Source organism: Homo sapiens, chromosome 5 (assembly GCF_000001405.40).
Source record: "Homo sapiens chromosome 5, GRCh38.p14 Primary Assembly".
NCBI lineage: Eukaryota > Metazoa > Chordata > Mammalia > Primates > Hominidae > Homo > Homo sapiens.
Genome location: NC_000005.10, coordinates 142,892,966 through 142,911,380, shown reverse-complemented (window position 1 = coordinate 142,911,380; position 18,415 = coordinate 142,892,966). Strand labels below are relative to the sequence as shown.

Below are 18,415 nucleotides of genomic sequence, written 5' to 3'. Positions count from 1 at the left end.
GGGGTCAGGGTCCACATAGGCTTGGAGAAACAGCAGGGCAGCTGGTGTGGCTAGAAGCCCAGAGTGAGGGAAAGTAGAAAGAAGAAGACTTTGAGGAGTGACAGAGGCAAGACCATGTAGGATTCTCGTTTGTATCCTGAGAGCAGCAGGAAAATAAAGAAGGGTTTCAATCAAAAGAAGGGATAGGATCGGTTTTGGGCTGCTCCAGATCTGCAGAGGTGCCTCAGGTCAGAGTGTAGGATGCAGGGAAATTCTTCCGTCACACACAGGGTCTGGTCTCCAGGAGGATGTGGCAAATCTGCTCACAACTCCAGATCTGAAGCTATGAGAACAGTGGGTACTTTTAAAGGAAAATAATCCAAATGAAAAGGACAGTGAGGGAACCTAACAGGTGGAGAAAGAGCATGTTAGGAAAAGAAAACACCCAATTATCTAGGTTAAAAGATATTTATGTTATCTATTTATCTATGTTCTATCTACCTCTAGCTCCTAGGAGAGCTCTGTTCAAACATGTATGCAGGCCAAGCATAGTAGAAAACACTGGTAATCCCAGTACTTTGGAGGCCAAGGTGACCAGGAGTTTGAGGCCAGCCTGGGCAACATAGTGAGACTCATCTCTATTTCTTCTTTTTTTCTTTTTTTGAGATGGAGTCTCGCACTGTCGCCCAGGCTGGAATGCAATGGCGCCATCTTGGGTCACTGTAACCTCCACCTCCCAGGCTCAAGCGATTCTCCTGCCTCAGCCTCCCAAATAGCTGGGATTACAGGCATGCGCCACTGCACCCGGCTAATTTTTGTATTTTCATTAGAGATGGGGTTTCACCATGTTGCCCAGGCTGGTCTTGAACTCCTGACCTCAGGTGATCCACCTGCCTCAGCCTCCCAAGTGCTGGGATTAACAGGCGTGAGCCACCACATCCGGCCTCGGTCTCTATTTTTAAAAAATATATACAACAACATCACATGATTCCTCTACACAATCGAGAAGACATCACCTCTAGACAGCCAGTCCTCATATTTCCTTCACCCTAAAGCTGAGGAAATAGTGACGTCATGGGAAGTATAATGAGTTCAGAATCAGGAGATTCAGACTGTGGAAAGAGCGTTTGAGCACCAGCTCTGTAACTTGTTAAATGACCTTAGAAATCATACTCTCTCCTAACCTCAATGTCCTCCTTTGTAAAAGGAGGAAAACTGGATCAAACAGGGTAATATAAATAAAAGGTTGCAGAAAAATATAAAACATAATTTAAATGTAAGGAATTACTAGGAAAATTAACTCTTATAATATCAAGGTCCTAATATAGCACCCATTATGTGTCAGGATTTGTTCCAAAAAATTTTTATATACTAATTCACATAAACCTCTTCACTACCCAATGACATGCTTTCTAGTAACTCTCTGAAGTCTCTGGAGAACCAAACATCCACTATAATTGGTTTCTACCCTTCACTTTCAAGTGTGATAAGAAAGGAATAGAGAAAATACAAAAGAGTTCTTCATTAAAAGTCTGAGAAAGCCCAAGATAAAAGGCCCAAAAACAGACTGTGTGAGAGAACAATTTGGTGAAGCTGATTTCTAGAAGGACTAAGAATTGGGAAGGGACTAAGGCTCAATCCAAGGAAAGCAGGCACAACTCTGTTTCCATTTCATGAAAACTAGGGGACACCTAATAATGTAGGTTTTTAATATTCCTCCTAAATGTAATTTCTCTGTTATGACATTTTAATGTCTGTTTTCCTGAGATTATTTATAAATCAATCCTGCCCCTGCCAAGAAACATAAAAAGGGCTTTGTTATTGCTTTGATTCAGGGAAGGAACAGAGATGCTGATAAACTTCTCTATCATGGCTTAAGTAAAAGAAAGCCAGGAAGAAAAACTGGAAGTGGAAGAGAACAAGGAGCACAACATGGCTGAGTACCTAACAGTAATGACAACAGCACCTAACAGCACTGGCCCAGGCAGACTGAGAGCAAAGCCAGCGCTTTTAACCCCTACTCTATAATGCCCACACACACGCAAACTCAACATGTTGCATAAAAATGTACTGCAGAGAGGACCGAAGTGGAATGCTTGTAGAGGACTAGTTTATCGACAGGTTAGACACAAATGAAAAACTATTTAAGCTGAAGACAGAGTAAGAGAAATTATTCAGAATACAGTCCAGAGACTCAAACAGATAAAACATGTAAATATTTGTATTAAAAACATTTAAATATCTCCAGAGGGAGACAATAGAATGGGAAGGAGGCGAAACTCAAAGGGATAATTGGTGAGAATTTTCCAGAGTTATTGGAAGAGACCAAATCTCAAATCCTGGAAAACCAAAACCTCCCAAGCAATAGATTAAAAAAGAAAAAAATCAAAGCTAGGGCTATCATAATGAAATGTAGAATATCAAAGGAAGAAAATAAAGCATAGGAGCAAAGAGAAAAGACAGGTCACCTCCATAGAAATGCATGTGGCCTGCTGTGGGAACACTCAGAGGAGACTCACAAGCAGGCAGGAGGCGAGAGGCAACAGCCAGGAGGAGGGAAGAACTAGGAGCATTCAAGGAGCTGCCCAATGGCGGGGACACCAGGGAGCCATATGTGCCCAACTGTCTCTTCCAAAGATAGCTACATATCACCTTCTATGCCACGTGCTTTTCCTACAATGAGACTTTGATGCCCCTCCCATGGAGAGGCAGGGTCTACCTCCTCCCCCACTGAAACTGAGAGGGCTATTGTGACCATTTTAACCAATAGATAAGGTAAAAGTAAGGCTCTATGACTTCTGAGATTAAGTCATGAAAAGGCAATGCAGTGTCTACTTTAGTTTCTAGAACATTCACTCCTAAAACCTTTTGCTGCCCTGAGGCCACCATGCTGTGAGGAAGCCCAAACTTGCTAATACAGAGAGACCAAATGGCGAGGCCCTGGGAGTATGCAGAGAAAGAGGGAAAAGGGAAGAAAAGGATACAGGAGAGAGGATGACAGCTGTATCTGGCCAGCTTGAGCTGCTTCAGACCCTCCTTGTTCTAGCTCTAGCTACTGTCTGCTTAGTACTTTATGAGAAACCTCAAGCCTGAACCACCCATCCAAATGCCCCCTGAATTCGTGACCCACAGAAACAATGAGAAATACTAAAATGATTGCTGTTGTTTTAAATGTTGCTAAGTTTTGGGGTGACTTGTTACACAGCAATAGGTAACCAGGACATCTATGTTGCCACTGGCAGCTCTCCAGGTATCAAGTGGGAGTGGGACTGAATCAGTTTCACAGGATGAGGTTATTCAATAATTTTCAGCATATAAAAATATTTGATACGCTTGATATTGTATATATGTGAAATACAAAAATATTTCTTAACTGCAGTTCCTAACGTAAGTTAGAGCTAAGAGTAATCATCTTATTTTAGCGATTCTTCAGCCTCTTAGGCTTCCTGAACTACTATATAAAAATTTTTTAAATTATTAATTTTAAATTTATGATGAAACATAAATATAACACTGGAGGTGTTACTTTATACATGCATTATAATCATTATATGTTAGCCAAGCAAATCAAACATCAAATTTTAAAAATGAACTCACCCCTTTTCCTCCTGACTTTTGGTCAAATGGTACCATGGTGATTTGTTTGGAATCCCGTTGATATGTACAGTAGTGCTTCACCCAAGAAGTTCCAAAGTGACCTGAAAGGTAATATTTCCCATAAAATATCTATACATTCCACTGTATGCTATACATCATGAGCTGGAAAAACCACAACCCATAATTCATAATGCTCATCTACCCTACCCTTAAACTATGTTAGAAGTAATATATTCTCCACACTAGCTAGAATGAATAGACAGAAATCTGATCCCACAGGCTCAAATGAAACCAACCCCGGGATTTCCCCCAGGGACCAAAGAAGACTGTTTCCCATTGATGCTACATCCAGTGGGTCTTAAAATACAACGGAAGTAAAGGTTCCCTGGGGAAACTAATCCCCGTTCCCATCATCAAGCCCCAACTGAAGTTTCCACTCTCTTCACTGACAGGAGTAAGATGATTGAGGAGAGAACGCAGAAAGCCTCCTCCAAGCGCTTGTGACCATTCCCATCTGTTGCGATGACATCATGCTTCCCACACAGCTGCTCTGTGACTCTGTGCACAGACATCAGGGGTTCTGACCTACTTCCAAACCCCTAACTTACTTTAGCAGAACTCAAGAAGATCTGAAAAGCAGACAAGGAGAGCTCAGAGACACCAGAGATGCAGAGTGGAAGTGACTGTCAATGCCCACATGTAACCTCTAAGGACTATGTCCCTCAAGATTAGTATGTCACCTCAAGAGGGAGGTGCCATGCAGTCGTATTCTGGCCAAGTCTCTGATTTTACTCAGTGCTTAGCCAATTACTTGAAAACAAAGCACTATTAAAGGAAGAAGGCATTAGTCAGCCTGCAAAGGACTTCAACCAATACTAGTTTTAGGTGCTTATGGAGATCACACAGCAGAAATTGTTAAAAAAAAAAAATTGTTTAAACATAAAGAGAATTAGCAGACGTTTAATAATTATCAATGGTATGGCATGACTGCCAACTGCAAGTGTTAGATGTCATTTAGTAAACTTAAAAAACAAAACAGTAAATGTTTCCACTGGGCCGTCAAGGACAAATGAAAATACAAACCATCTTAGTGTATTCTTACAGACTGGGGAAAAAATTCCAGTAATTGAACAACACAAAGATTCCCAAAGCACTGTATCTTGGACAACTTGAGCATCAAGATAAATAAGGACAGTTATAAATTATAGCCTCCTGAACAAAAGAGGAACCCATAAATCCAAACTGACAATGGAAAGATGGATAACGGACGGACGGATGGATGGATAGACAGTAGGAAGGGAGAGAGGGAGGAAGAAAGAGGAGCAGGACTCTTCCTTACATAAGTACACTGAATGGCAACTATTAAATGTGGAGGGGTTGGTGGAACTGAGAAGTCACCATTTTGCAACCATCATAGTAAAGATCAGCTCAGGCAAGGATTGTCAATGGATGCTAAATCTATGGAGGTAAAGTGTGATAAGGAGAAGGATATTTACATGATCTTAAGGTGTTACCTTCAGATTGCTAATTAGTTACAAGGGGAAAATAGTGACTGTATAGTGGAGAAACCAGACAATACCTTGACTGGGTGATCAAAATTTACATCACCACTGAGGGGCAGGTCGACACCACATGTGTCCAGATGTGGCCCCAGAGAAGAACTCTTATGTAGGATTTGACCAGAGATGCATAATCCAAATCTAATCATGAAGAAACACCAGATAAACCCATGCTGAAGAAAACTGTATAAAGGAACTGGACTGTGTTGTTCAAAAATGTCAATGTCATGAAAGACAAAGAAAAGCTGGAGAACTGTTCCAGATTAAAGGAGACTAAAGTCATGACAACTAAATGCAGTATGAGGTTCTGTACTGGAGAACAACAAAATGCTTTAGAAGGCCATTATTGATACAACTGGCAAAACTGGAATACGGACTGTAGTTCAGATTAAATATTGCACCAATGTTAAATTTGATATTAGGTTGGTGCAAGAGTTCAATTGCGATTTTAGCCATTACTTTTAATGGCAAGAGTTCAATTGCGATTTTAGCTATTACTTTTAATGGCAAAAACCATAATTACTCTTGCACCAACCTAACAGATGTGTTTACATAAAAAGAATATCTTTTATTCTTAGAAAATACTCACTACTGAAGAAGCATGGTATATGCAACCATATTCTCAAATGACTCAGAAAAAAGTGTGTATGTGTGTGTATGCAAGTTGTACTCACGTGAATACTCACACACCCACACAGAGAGAGAAGGAATGATATCATTGTGGCTAAATGTTAAAAATTGATGCACTGGGTAAAGGGTTTATGGTTGTTCCTTACACCATTGTTGCGACTTTTCTGTATGTCTGAAATTATTTCAAAATAACAAGTTACAAAAAATTTAAAATTAAAAAAAAAGTGCTGTATCCCCATCATGTGCTCTGGACTGTGTTAGGGAACAAAAAAGTGTCCTCATGATAATCAACACACTAATGTTGAAAGAGCATGTGAAGTGTCTGAATAAAAGTGTGTGACATGAGAGTGCAAAAAAACAACATTGATTTTATATATGTAAGTGAATGATATATTAACAAATTAAGTATTATAGGTGGACTTTGAACTATATTTTTAGAGTCCTAAAAATTTATATTTTCAAGTAGACCTAAAACCTTTTGCAGGGATCTTCTCACTGGGCAAAGAGGGGATCACTTTGTATTCAGGCATATACAAAACACACAGCTGAAGTAGCTACATTTCTTATAAACCTCAACAGGCTCATCTCTGTAAGAATAAGGAATGTAATCCTCATCACAGCCAATACTCCAACACCACTACTGCCCCAGTTACCAGGAAACTTAAGTCCAAACAAATTTTTGAGTAATTACTAAATAGAATAATTAGTGAAACCAAGTATTTCTATTCTATCCCATCGGAAAGCTATTAGGAGTGAAGACATCTGCCTAACTCTACATGAAGAGCAGGACATGAAAGAACACAAAACCTGCAAAAATCTGAAAAGACCAATGTTCTCTACCAAAGGACTAGGAGAAGAATTACCCACTAAAGAAAAAAACATTCACTTTCTTTCGTTCCTAGCATTGCATACACGAATTAAGTCTGAATGTGCTATCCTAAACGGCACGGCCCCATCACAGAGCCTTTCCCCAGCCATAAGGCATGAACTTGTGAGTCATCACTAAAATGTCCATGTTAGCAGCACCTGGCATTCCTTTCCTAGACATCACTGGCAGAACAATGAGTATTCTTGGCTCTTTTTTTTTTTTCTTTTAAGAGACAGGGTCTTGCTCTGTCACCCAGGCTGGAGTACAGTGGTGGCAATCTCAGCTCACTGCAGCCTCCACCTCCTGAGCTCTTATAAACCTCAACAGGCTCACTCCGGTAAGCAATCCTCCCACCTCAGCCTCCCAAGTAGCTGGGCCCACAGGTGCACACCACCACACCTGGCTACTTTTTGTATTTTTGTAGAGACAGGGTTTCACTATGTTGCCCAGGCTGGTCTTGAACTCCTGAGCTCAAGCAATCCACCGACCTCAGCCTCCAAAAGTGCTGGGATTACAGACGTGAGCCACCGCATGCAGCCTTCTTCTTGGCTCTTGAAGTGAGCCTTTGTTCCTACTTTTCATAAAATTCAAGTGTTGGAATGAAATGAGTTGAGGAGAAGAGGAAAAAGGCCTAAGTCATGATTGTTTGGGCCTTGCTGAAACAATGTCAAATGAAAACAGAATCACCAAGTATTAAGTCTACCAAAGGATACACTGCTGATAGATAACAGGGGCCTAGCATGTAAGACCTTTCCAAGGCTGCTATGCTCAGGGTATGGTACATAAAGCTGGACTAGGGGTACAGGAACCCCAAGAGTAGAGTAACATTAGAGAGAGAAGAGCAACCACAGAGCCTTAAAGAATTGCAGGTTCCCAAAGGAATTCCCATTCATAAAGAAAAACAAAGGTAGACAAGATTCTGTGGACATCATCTTTCTCTTTGGAAAGGTGAACTATAAAATTGTTCTTGTTATCCAAGCATGTATCTACAGTAAGGTAGGCACTGCTGAATACATCCTCCACCTTCTAGGTAAGAGGCCTGAGTACATCCCAAGCTGTTGCTAGTCAAAGCACTCACGTTTCTCCTGCACGTAGAGGTATCCCTCCATGGTGTAGGGACTGATGGTCTTGTGCTCAAGGGGATTCTCCTTCATCTTTTTCATCAGTGATTCCACTTCTGATCTAGTGCCTTCAAAGCGATTTCTTGTCTAGGATGAAAATAATTTTATTCAAATCAAAGAAACAAAGTATCTGTTTTAACAATCCAGATCAACCTAATAGAATCCTTAGATCTAAAATGAGATAAAGGACATTCAACCTTCCAGGAACTGGCCAAATACTCCCTTATGACAAGTATACTTTGGCCTTAAAGTCCTATACCAGAATGACTCTCAAACTCTAGTGACTATCAAAATCACCTAGGGATCTTATAGAAAATGCAAATGCCCAGCCCTCACTCCTACAGATCAATTCAGCACCTCTGGATGCCAAAAAGTGTGTTTTACGATAAGCCTCCCAGGTGATTCTGATTCAGATGCTCTAGGGGCCTGTATGACTTAAGGACCTAGGCGTTCATTTCTCCAGCTGCCATGAATGTTGCTTGCTGATGGCTCACAGATGAGTCCCTCCTTAAAAGGGGAGTTCCTTCACTCAAGGTCAGCCTGCACCCAATGACTAGACAAGGCTAGAGGAAAGGCAGAAGGGGGTTGAAAGCCTGGCCCCCTTGCTTGTATTCAGGGCGACTTTGAAGGATCATCCCAGCTCCAGAGCCTCCCCTGCACTGAGACCTCTGCTGCATCTGCATCACAGCTCTATTTCCCCCTCTGCGAGTCCAGGTGCCCTCACTCTGTCACAGGTGTTTTCACCAGCATTGCCCCCACCTCCAGTAAGCCCACTGCATGTCAATCTCGATTTCAGAGCCTGCATTCTGAGAAACCTGGCCTAAGGGGAAGCCATGCTTTGTGAAACCTTTTCCAAGATTCTGCAACTTCCTGTTCTCTGAGACAACACTGACTACTATGTAACCTCCAGGCTTCTAAAACCCATGCAGTACAACCCACATGGACACAAGATCACCTAGAGACAAAGAAAATAAGAAGAATAACATGGTCCAATCCCACAGTGAAGAAGGGGGCTCAAGCCCCAGTGACTGCTAACCAAAAAGCCCTACGCAGGATTCTGTGCACCAAAAGGTCCTGTGTTTAAACCTTGGGAATGCTGACCACACTGGGAGCGAAGCACGGACTTGGATTTCCTGCCAGCCTTCCTAAGAGTTGGACAAGAGAACATCCTTTGAGCTGGAGGCCAGCATGTGTCCCCAGCCCCCATTCCCAGAACACACACTCCACACGGTCTCATGTAGTCAGGCAGCTAGATGCATAGAATGGAGGCTGGGTTGGGCTGGGATTTCCACCGCCAAAGGAAATCCTGACTCCAATGCTACAGACGCTACAAATTTGAAACATAACCAGCAGCAGCACTTCCGAGAACATAAATAGGGCTTTGAAATAATGGAGAAGAGGATGATGGTCTAACTCAGAACCACCAAGCACTCTAGAAACGCCTGCCCCTAGTTTCCCTCTGAACCCAAGCAAGACCCACCCTCCTCACCTACATTCCAAGCCACCTGGATGGTTTCTAGGGCAATCAGGCCCATATTTTGTTTTTCCTTAACCAGATAAAAGAAGCCTGTCCCTATGCCCACTCACGTTCTGTATGCTAATGGTTAACTGTGTCTTGAAGTCCCCGAAATCCTTGGCCAGTTCGTAACCATGGTGATAGAAAGTGAAGAGTCCTTGCAGGAAGGCCAGCAGCTGTAATGAAGGAAGAAAGGCAAAGGTCACATAACCAGGTTGAAAAGAGGTATTATGTAGCTGTATCTGAGCTCCCAACACTGGCTTGAAAGTCTAAAATAAAGAATAATAATGGCTGACATTTAAAGAGCACCAATTGTGTGCCAGGCACTATGCCCTTCCATGCCCTGGGTGAGTACTCACAACATCCCATGACCTAAGCACTACTGTTATCCCCATTTTAATAATGAGGAAGCAGGTTCAGAGAGGTTAAGAAACTTGCCCCAAAACACACAGTAAGTGGCAGCCAGAACTTGAAACCAGGTCTCCTTGGCATCAACACCCATGCCCTTGCCCTGTGGGCCTCACCACCTGCTGAGAACATCATTTCCTCAGAAACCAAAGACCAGGGTTCTGACTCAGTTTCCCTCTAGTACATTTGTAGTATCAGGTTATTACACAGAAGAGGAAGGCAGAAAAGGAAGTGGGGTGTCCTGAGTCTACAGTCTAACAGGCAAAGTCAAATCAAAGAAAATCATCCAACTGAAGTGTGTTTCCGTGCTTTCCCCAAACTACTCAAAAGTAAACACTATGGATTCCTTTATTAAAATATTTCCATATTCCCACATTTTCACTTATGGTGGTTTCCCTAAATTCTCAATTAAATCCCTCAGGCTAAAAGGTAAGCCCGTTTCATTGTTTAGTCTTGTCTTTAGTGAATGGTAAAAACATCTGTTCACCACAATGCTCACCACACGGCTTCATATACTTAAAAACTATTAATGTCCCCTCCCTGAGCCCCTACCAGCCTTCATTTATCCAAACTAAACAAACAGCATTCCTGTGGTCTTTCCTCTCGGAGCTTACATCCAAACCTCACTGTTGTTATGCTTTCCTGGCCCCTTCTCAAGTTCTACACATCTTCCCTCAGTTCTAAACTTCAACCTGAAGAAAGGATTATAATAAAAGCCCGAACGAGATTTAGGAAAGACCAGTGCCTCACCTCTATCACAAAGCACAGCTCCATGGTATTTGGGGACTATCCCATTAACTTCGGCTTCTGAAGGCTGACCCACATTTTCTGAGGGGTCCACTCTGACCTCCCTGACCTGCCATACCACCTTATTCCAAGACACATTTGCTTTATTTTACATTGTGGTCTTCAGATTTTCAGTCCCTAAATGATTTTTTTTTAACCTGTTAAACATTACTTATTATGTAAAAAAAAAATTTACTTTACTTACTAAACATAATCCCATCCCACTTATTTTCACCTAACTAACTCTCCTTTTCTGAGAGGCAGCTATAATAAGTGACGGTAAAGGAATCTCATCCCGCCCCCCCTCCCCCTACTCTCCCACCTTGTTTGCAGCAGGAATAGTAAGCACAAAAGTATATAGCACTGGACCTAAACTCAGAGGGCAGGCCAGCCCAGTTTAATCAAAGATCTGGGCCCTGTGAAGATAAAACCCAGATTATGACAATATGGCCCTTAACTTCCCATTGCCACTGTCCCCGGCCCATCTATCCCCTTAGATTCTCATGGGTGGTGGGAGAGTAGGCATTGCTGGGTCCTCTGGCTATAAAACTATCCAGTGGCACCATATACAGACCCCTAACATAAATCCGTGAATGAGTGGTAAGCCCCATGGAGTCACTAGAGACTGATAATGAATGTTTTTCTTCAAAGACGGCCGAAGGCTTTGGGCTTATTCTATACAAAATACTTTTCTGAGAGGAAGACCCATACCTTTCCTTTTAGATGGCTCCAATAACAGAGGAGAGGAGGCTCCTCTGCCAAACCGAGTCCCAGCATTCACAGTGAAAACTGTTTTGCCTCTTCTTAACTCTGCTCTCCCTGCTATCTGCAAATGCCCTGCCCCATCGCCTTTCCAAGGCATGACACTACCCCTGACTTGAGAATAACGCAGAAGATAAGCAGTTAATTCCAAGGTCATTCCTCCTATTAACTATGATTTATCCTTCACTCATAGTAAACAGAGCCTCTCTTGCTCGGGGTAATTAAATATTCTCAAACAGCTCACTAAGATGCCACCTGGGCATACCCGCAAGTGCTCCCCAAAGGCAGGGAGTTACTAATATTTATTTTGTTTTTCCTCCTTTAGTCTCATGCCTTGATTGTCCATTTTTTTATGGGAAATGACTCCTTAACATATTGCTATTTTTGGCCCACTTCCCCCTTGCTTCTCTCCTCCCAGCACCTTTTCTCTCCCCCACCCCCAACACTATATGAACCTTTGAAGTATTACAAAGTGGGAAATGAAAGTCCACTCCTCAGGGGGCAGGATGAAGCCCACGGGACTCCAGAGATGGGGGAGCTGTCTGCTTCAAAGAAATGCTTCTACCCAAACACTAGGAGGAAGAGCTTGCTGCAGTCCCACCTGGTTATCAAATAAGAGGGGTCAGCTGTCCACGGGGCAACCACAACATCACAGCCTGACATAGGAAAGATCTTTCCCGCCTCCCTGTGCCTCCTTCTCTATCCTTGTTATCCTAAAAGAATAACCATAAGCAAAACCTATTCCTACTTCCTAGCTGACAACATAATTTATTTTTTTCATTTTAAAAAGCAAAAATCTAATTGCCCAAGTTAATGCTGGCTGCATCACTCTGGATTGTCACCATTCATAGAACAGACCTACTTTACTGGGTTAAATTGTGTCCCCCAAAAAAAGATATGTTGAAGTCCTAATACCTCTGAAGGTGATTTCACTTGGAAATAGGGTCTTTACATGGGTAATCAAGTTAAATGAGGACATTAGGGTGGGCCCTAGTACTTTTACAAAGATGCCATAGCTGGTGTCCTTAGAAAGGTGAAAATGTGGACACACAGACAAGCATGGCCATGTGAGGATGAAGGACTGGAGGGAGGCATCTATAAGCCAAGAAATGCCAAACATGATCACAAGCCACGGGAAGCTAGGAGGAAAGGAAGTCACCTTTCACTGCAGGTTTCAGAGGGATCTTGGTGCCAAAACCTTGACTTCAGACTTCTAGGCTTTAGAACTGTGAGACAACAGATTTCTGTTGTTCTAAGACACCCAATTTGTGGTACTTTGTTACAGCAGCCCTAGCAAACTAATACAGCTACCAAGAATCATCCGCACAGGCAACAAAGAGAAGGGCAGCTAGTAGAGTGATGAAAAGCTGAGGGGGCTAAGCCACATAACTCCCTTTAACTCATCTTTGACAAGAGGATAACAGTGGTTTTTACTATTGCACAGAGTTGCAGTGAAGATTAATTCAGATCATCCATGTAATGGGCTTAGCACAGGAGTGCTGTCAGGAGCTTCTTGGCAAAAGAGAGAGAGAGAGAATCAGACTGACGTGTTAGAAGGTGCATTCTGGTCCAGGCCAGACTGGAGAACGGGGAGGCCCAAGGCAGAATGCAAAGTCCAGAGAAAAGAATGAAGGCCTGCAATGGGACAGAAGCAGAGGGAAAGGAGAGGAAGAGACACTGCACCAAGAAATATTCAGGATGGAAAACTCGGAGGATGCAGGCCTAATGAACATGGAGAATGAGTTCTCTGGGGCACTAGCCAACCTTCAATTACGAAAACTCAGGCAACAGAGGGAATGTGGCTTCACCTTCATGGAGTCAATATGTCATTATCTGCAATCCAAATCTCAAGAACATTTAGTACTGTGACAAGAAAATTAAAGCTTCCAGTGCAAATATATACATACATATACATATATATATGCACATACGTATATATGTATATGTATGTGTGTGTATATATGTGTGTGTGTGTGTGTATGTGTGTGTGTATATATATATACACACATATATATCCCAAAAGATCTGATTTAGATCCCAGAAGTCTGATTTTTCTTCCTTGGGAATACTACAACTGTTTCTTTTTCTGAAGGTCAATAATATCCTGGTACTTGAAGTTACTTTCAAGAAACAAATGAACACGGTCGATTTGCATAGAGGTCCCTTACATGACTGGAAGATTCCCTTGACTGTAACCAACTCAAATATGAATACCCACTCCAGCAATTTAGTTCAATAGACTTCTTGCTGGTTTCTTTCCCACCTGTAAGCAATCAAATGCTATTTCATGGAGATGAAAAGTCAGACCCTTCCAGCTCTGCTATTTACTAGATATGATGTTGGACAGGTAAAGAAACTTATTTGTTTCAATTTCTTCATCTGAAAATTGGGATAAAAACAGTACTTACCCTCAGAGATGTTATAAGGTTTGACTGACATACTGTAGGTAAAGCGCTTAGCACGGTACACGACAGTTTCAGATAATATCATCAATTGTTATTTCATGTTCTTCCTTTGTATAATCTAGGCCAGTGGCTCAAACTGAAATGTGCAGCTGAATCACGGGGAAGGTTTACTAAACTACAGGCTACTGGGCCCCTCCCTTAAATTTCAGGTCTGGAGTGAAGCCTGAGAATGTGCATGTCTAACACTGAGAATCACTGATCTCATCAGTAGCTTTTTCACTGTATGAATACCTTCTCCCCATCCCCAGCTCCTGAAGCCACTGACCTGCCTAGAAGCTGATGTGCAGAGACAATAACTTCTGTAGAAAAGCAAAGGCCAAACATCTGAATCCTATATCCAGCCTCTCAGCATTTAGTTTAACTTTGGGCAAATCCCTATTACTATCTTTGTCCTAACATGAGACTGAAAATTTCTTTTCATTAGCTCTCCAGGTTTCTCACTGTATGAACTGAAAAACATCTGCACACTACGATGGTTATACTTTTAAATCCCTCTGGCACATCTATAGCATCCATCCTGTCCAAGCTGTCACTGAACTGCTTGCTATCTTGACTAGCTCTCTACTACACACATCTTGCTTACCCCAGTGAGGCTGTGAATGCCTCAGCCACAGCACCTGGGTTTTCAGCATTTTCTACGGTATTCAATAAATACATACTTTTAAAGCTACCAAAACTGTTTATATTAAAACAGGTAGGCCCTGTTAATATTGGTACTTCACTCGTTTGCTCATAAATAAAAAATAATAATTGCTAAGTTTTTATTTGGTTCTAATCAGGTTCTGTTCTAAGCACCTCACATGGATAAACACTCAGTCAATCCTCATACAACTTTATAAAGTAGGTGATATTACTATCCCCATTCTGCAGATGGGGAAAGTAAGGCTCAGAGAAATAACTTGCCCAAGAACACACAGCTAGTAAATGGCTAGGCTGGGATTTAAATTCAGGGAGTCTAGCTCTAGAATCCTTAACCATGATGCTACTGCTTCTTAAAGTGAAAACTCCCTAAGACATGGACACACTACAACAGGATGCCAGGAAATGGAATGGTAAATCTTTAGAGATTTCTTTTCTCAAGAAAGAAGGAAGGAAGAGGGGGAGGAGAGACAAAAGAAGGAGAAGAAGGAGGAGGAAAACCCATTTAGATCAGCAAAGCTATCCAGCTGAGCCAAGCCTAAGCTGGCTGAACCTCACAGATGTGTGAGAAGTAAACATCTATTGTTGTATGAGGTTTTGTGGATACCATTCAGCAAAAGCCAACAGATAAAATACCTGACTCACTAGGTACGCCTACTGAGAGATCAAAGTGGATAACAAAACACTCACCTCAAAAAAGTTGGATGGGCCAATTACAAAAAAAACTCATCAAAAGCAAGCAAATTTGGAATAATATTAATCGAAGTATATATAAAGATTATTAGAAATGCACTGTTCTTTTTCTCTAGAAAGTCTGGCAAAAGCAAATAAAAATAATGCTAAAGGCAAATTCTATGTGACAGCATTTGCATTCCTGCCCTGACCACAGGAAGCAAGTCTTCAGTAAACCTTTGCTTGAAAGGCCAGTTTGTGCTTTAAGCAGGAAAATCAATAAGGCTGCTTTATCTGACAGATAGCTGCTCACACCTAACAGACCCTGTGGAAAGATGGGGATTTTTGACTTGGGACCTTGACTGAAACCACACTGCTGGAAGTTAGGTCTAAGGTTTTAATATTCATATATGGAGACTGAAGTAATTGACGACTTTAAGGAATCTGCCAAATGAGGTAGCTGGGAGTGGTATCCAGAAATTATAGTTCTAGCATAGTAAAAGATGTAGACATAAGGTTCCAAAGCCGATTGTAATCTTTTTTTGTTTTTAAGAGATGGAGTCTCACTATGTTGCCCAGTTGCCCAGGCTGATCTCAAACTCTTGGTCTCAAGTGATCTTCCTGCCTCAGCCTCTCAAAGTGCTAGGATTACAGGCATGAGCCACTGTGCCTGGCCACCAATTGGAGTCTTGATGAAACTACCAGCAAGTCTACATGCCTAAAAAAATCCACCCCAAAAGTTTATAAATTAGACATGGGGTACACAATGCTCTTTACTAGAAAGAGTGGCCACTCCTTTCAGTTTCTTACAGTTTTATTCTTATTTGCTTAAGAAAAGTCTCCTTTCTTGGTCGGGCGTGCTGGCTCATGCCTGTAATCCCAGCACTTTGGGAGGCCGAGGCGGGCGGATCACGGGGTCAGGAGATCGAGACCATCCTGGCCAACATGGTGAAACCCCGTCTCTACTAAAAAATACAAAAATTAGCCAGGCGTGGTGGCGTGCACCTGTAGTCCCAGCTACTGAGGAGGCTGAGGCAGGAGAATCGCTTGAACCCAGAAGGCAGAGGCTGCAGTGAGCTGAGATTGCACCATTGCACTCCAGCCTGGGTGACAGAGCGAGAAGCTGTCTCAAAGAAAAAAAAAAGAAAAAAGAAAATTATCCTTTCTTAAATCTAGGTAGAGAATCTTATTTGTACAGAGATGCCATGCTTGAGTCTAAATCAGAGGCTGCATTTTGGCTGGAAAATCCATGGTCTGCGAGAGTTTTAAATTGAGGTCCATATACTATTTTGGTGTTTCCATGAAGTCTTCCTGCTGTGGATTCTCCACACCAGTGCCACACCCAGCAAAGTGGAGTGGCACCATGTCCAAATGAAACCACAACCATGCTGGTGTGGCCTAAACTAAAGTCAGGCTTTTTCCCACAATGCAATCTTCATGTTCACTGGGACAGTGTCCAAGTCCAAATTCCATCATGGTCCACTCAGCAGAGTCTCTATGCTGTTCTGTTTATAACAAATCCATGTGGGAAATCCATGTGAGAAACTTTATATAGCATCTTTTAATACCTGAATGGGGTGAGAAGGGGCTTTGAACCACAGGGTAAAAAGAGAAATGTACTATGTCTTTGGGTGACTACTACATCTGAATTATTTGAGGAAGAGAAGAAGGGTAGGAGAGAGGAGGGAAGTTAAGGTATAATCACTATTTCATGGCAAGATAGAGAACCCCTCCCCTCTGGACTCCCATTTCCACTCTGTCCACCTGAAAATCATATGGCACATCATTGGGTAGCCAGAGGAAGGAATGACTGCTGGACGCTCTATCTCCATTGCTATGTGTTGTACAGGAATGGCTGCTGGGAAGAATCCAAGGCAGCCAGGCTCGCAAAGCACTGATACTTACAGAAGGGACAGTGTCAGGGCTGCTCAACCTCTTCATCAACAACTTAGAGCATTTTGTAATCTACTACTAGTTAGAATGAGGGATGAATATATGGGTACATCATTAAACCCTGAATATCTACTTACAGGCTCCACAAACTCAAACATCTTTCTCTCTTGGACTTCCTGCACCTTGAAGACATATTCCAGGGATACTTCATAGAAATGCTGCCGGACCAGGTCCACTTGGCTGTCTGCCTACAAACAAGATGGAATTTAAGAGAAAAATCAAGTCACTACCCAAGGATAGCATTCCGAAAGCAGGTCAGAAAAAAAAAATCTCGGGAGATAATTTTCAAAAACAAATCAAATAGCATTACACAGAAGAAGAATAACTATAGTAACTATTTCACTATGCAAAAATATACTGAAACATCATATTATACAACTTAAATACATATTTTTTTAAAACAAAAAAAAAGCTTTCTAATGAGATTATTGGTTTAAAAAGGTAAATGTATACAAGGAACTCAACTCAACAGAAAAAAAAAAAACCCACAAATAATACCATTAAAAAGTGGGCAGGAGATCTGAATAGACATTTCTCAAAAGAAGACACACAAATAGCCAAAGGGTATATTAAAAAACGTTCAACATCACTAATTATCAGGGAAATGAAAGTCAAAATCAAAATGAGATATCATCTCAAGCCAGTTACAATGGCTATGATCAAGATTAAAAATAGCAAATGCTGGTAAGGATGGGGAGAAAAGGGAACTGATGGTGGGAATGTAAATTAGTACAACTATTATGGAGAACAGTATGGAGATTTCTCAAAAAGCTAAAAATAGTACTACCATATAATCCAGCAATCCCACTACTTGGTATTTATCCAAAGAAAAGGAAATCACTATATCAAAGGGATACCTGTACCCCCATGTTTATTGCAGCACTACTCACAACAGCCAAGATATGAAGTGAACCTAAGTGTTCAATGGATGAATGGATAAATACACACACACAGACTGCTATTCAGCCATGAAAAAGAATGGAATTCTGTCATCTGCAGCAACATGAATGGAACTGGAGGTCATTATGTCAAGTGAAGGCACAGAAAAACAAATATCACATCTTCTTATTCATATGTAGGTGCTAAAAAAGTGGATCTCAAGGAAGTAAAAAGTAGAATGAGAGTTATCAGAGGCTAAGAAAGGGGTGGGAGTCAGGTGCCGTGGTTCATGCCTATAATCCCAGCACTTTGGGAGGCCGAGGTGGGCGGATCACGAGGTCAAGAGATCGAGACAATCCTGGCCAACATGGTGAAACCCCATCTCTACTAAAAATACAAAAATTAGCTGGGCATGGTAGCACATATGGTAGCTACTCGGGAGGTTGAGGCAGGAGAATCACTTGAACCCAGGAGGCGGAGGTTGCAGTGAGCCAAGATCACACCACTGCACTCCAGCCTGGTGACAGAGCGAGACTCTGTCTCAAAAAAAAAAAAAAGCGGGGGGGTGGGGTGGGGTGGGA

The 18,415-nt window shown here is 41.9% G+C and overlaps 1 protein-coding gene across 40 annotated transcripts in view, besides 1 other annotated feature; it reads right to left on the bottom strand.

The window, feature by feature from the left end:
- The window catches only part of ARHGAP26 (Rho GTPase activating protein 26), a 458,635-nt gene that overhangs the window by 317,631 nt on the left and 122,589 nt on the right, over nucleotides 1-18,415 (bottom strand). For all 40 annotated transcript variants that reach the window (NR_146198.2, XR_007058592.1, XR_007058593.1 and 37 more), the window contains 4 exons: nucleotides 17,033-17,143; nucleotides 9,342-9,446; nucleotides 7,712-7,841; nucleotides 3,577-3,677 (listed from right to left, as the gene is read on the bottom strand). Coding sequence is in view for 37 of the 40 variants with exons in the window: in NM_015071.6 (NP_055886.1) it covers nucleotides 3,577-3,677; nucleotides 7,712-7,841; nucleotides 9,342-9,446; nucleotides 17,033-17,143 (447 nt within the window). In the remaining 3 variants the exon portion in view is untranslated. The remainder of the gene's footprint in view (nucleotides 1-3,576; nucleotides 3,678-7,711; nucleotides 7,842-9,341; nucleotides 9,447-17,032; nucleotides 17,144-18,415) is intronic.
- Nucleotides 14,614-15,520: an enhancer, noted in NCBI's record as "OCT4-NANOG-H3K27ac-H3K4me1 hESC enhancer chr5:142275426-142276332 (GRCh37/hg19 assembly coordinates)". NCBI's record gives its function as "activates a minimal SCP1, AML or CMV promoter by ChIP-STARR-seq in primed H9 embryonic stem cells {active_cell/tissue: H9 hESC(primed)}" and the evidence as "EXISTENCE:reporter gene assay evidence [ECO:0000049][PMID:30033119]".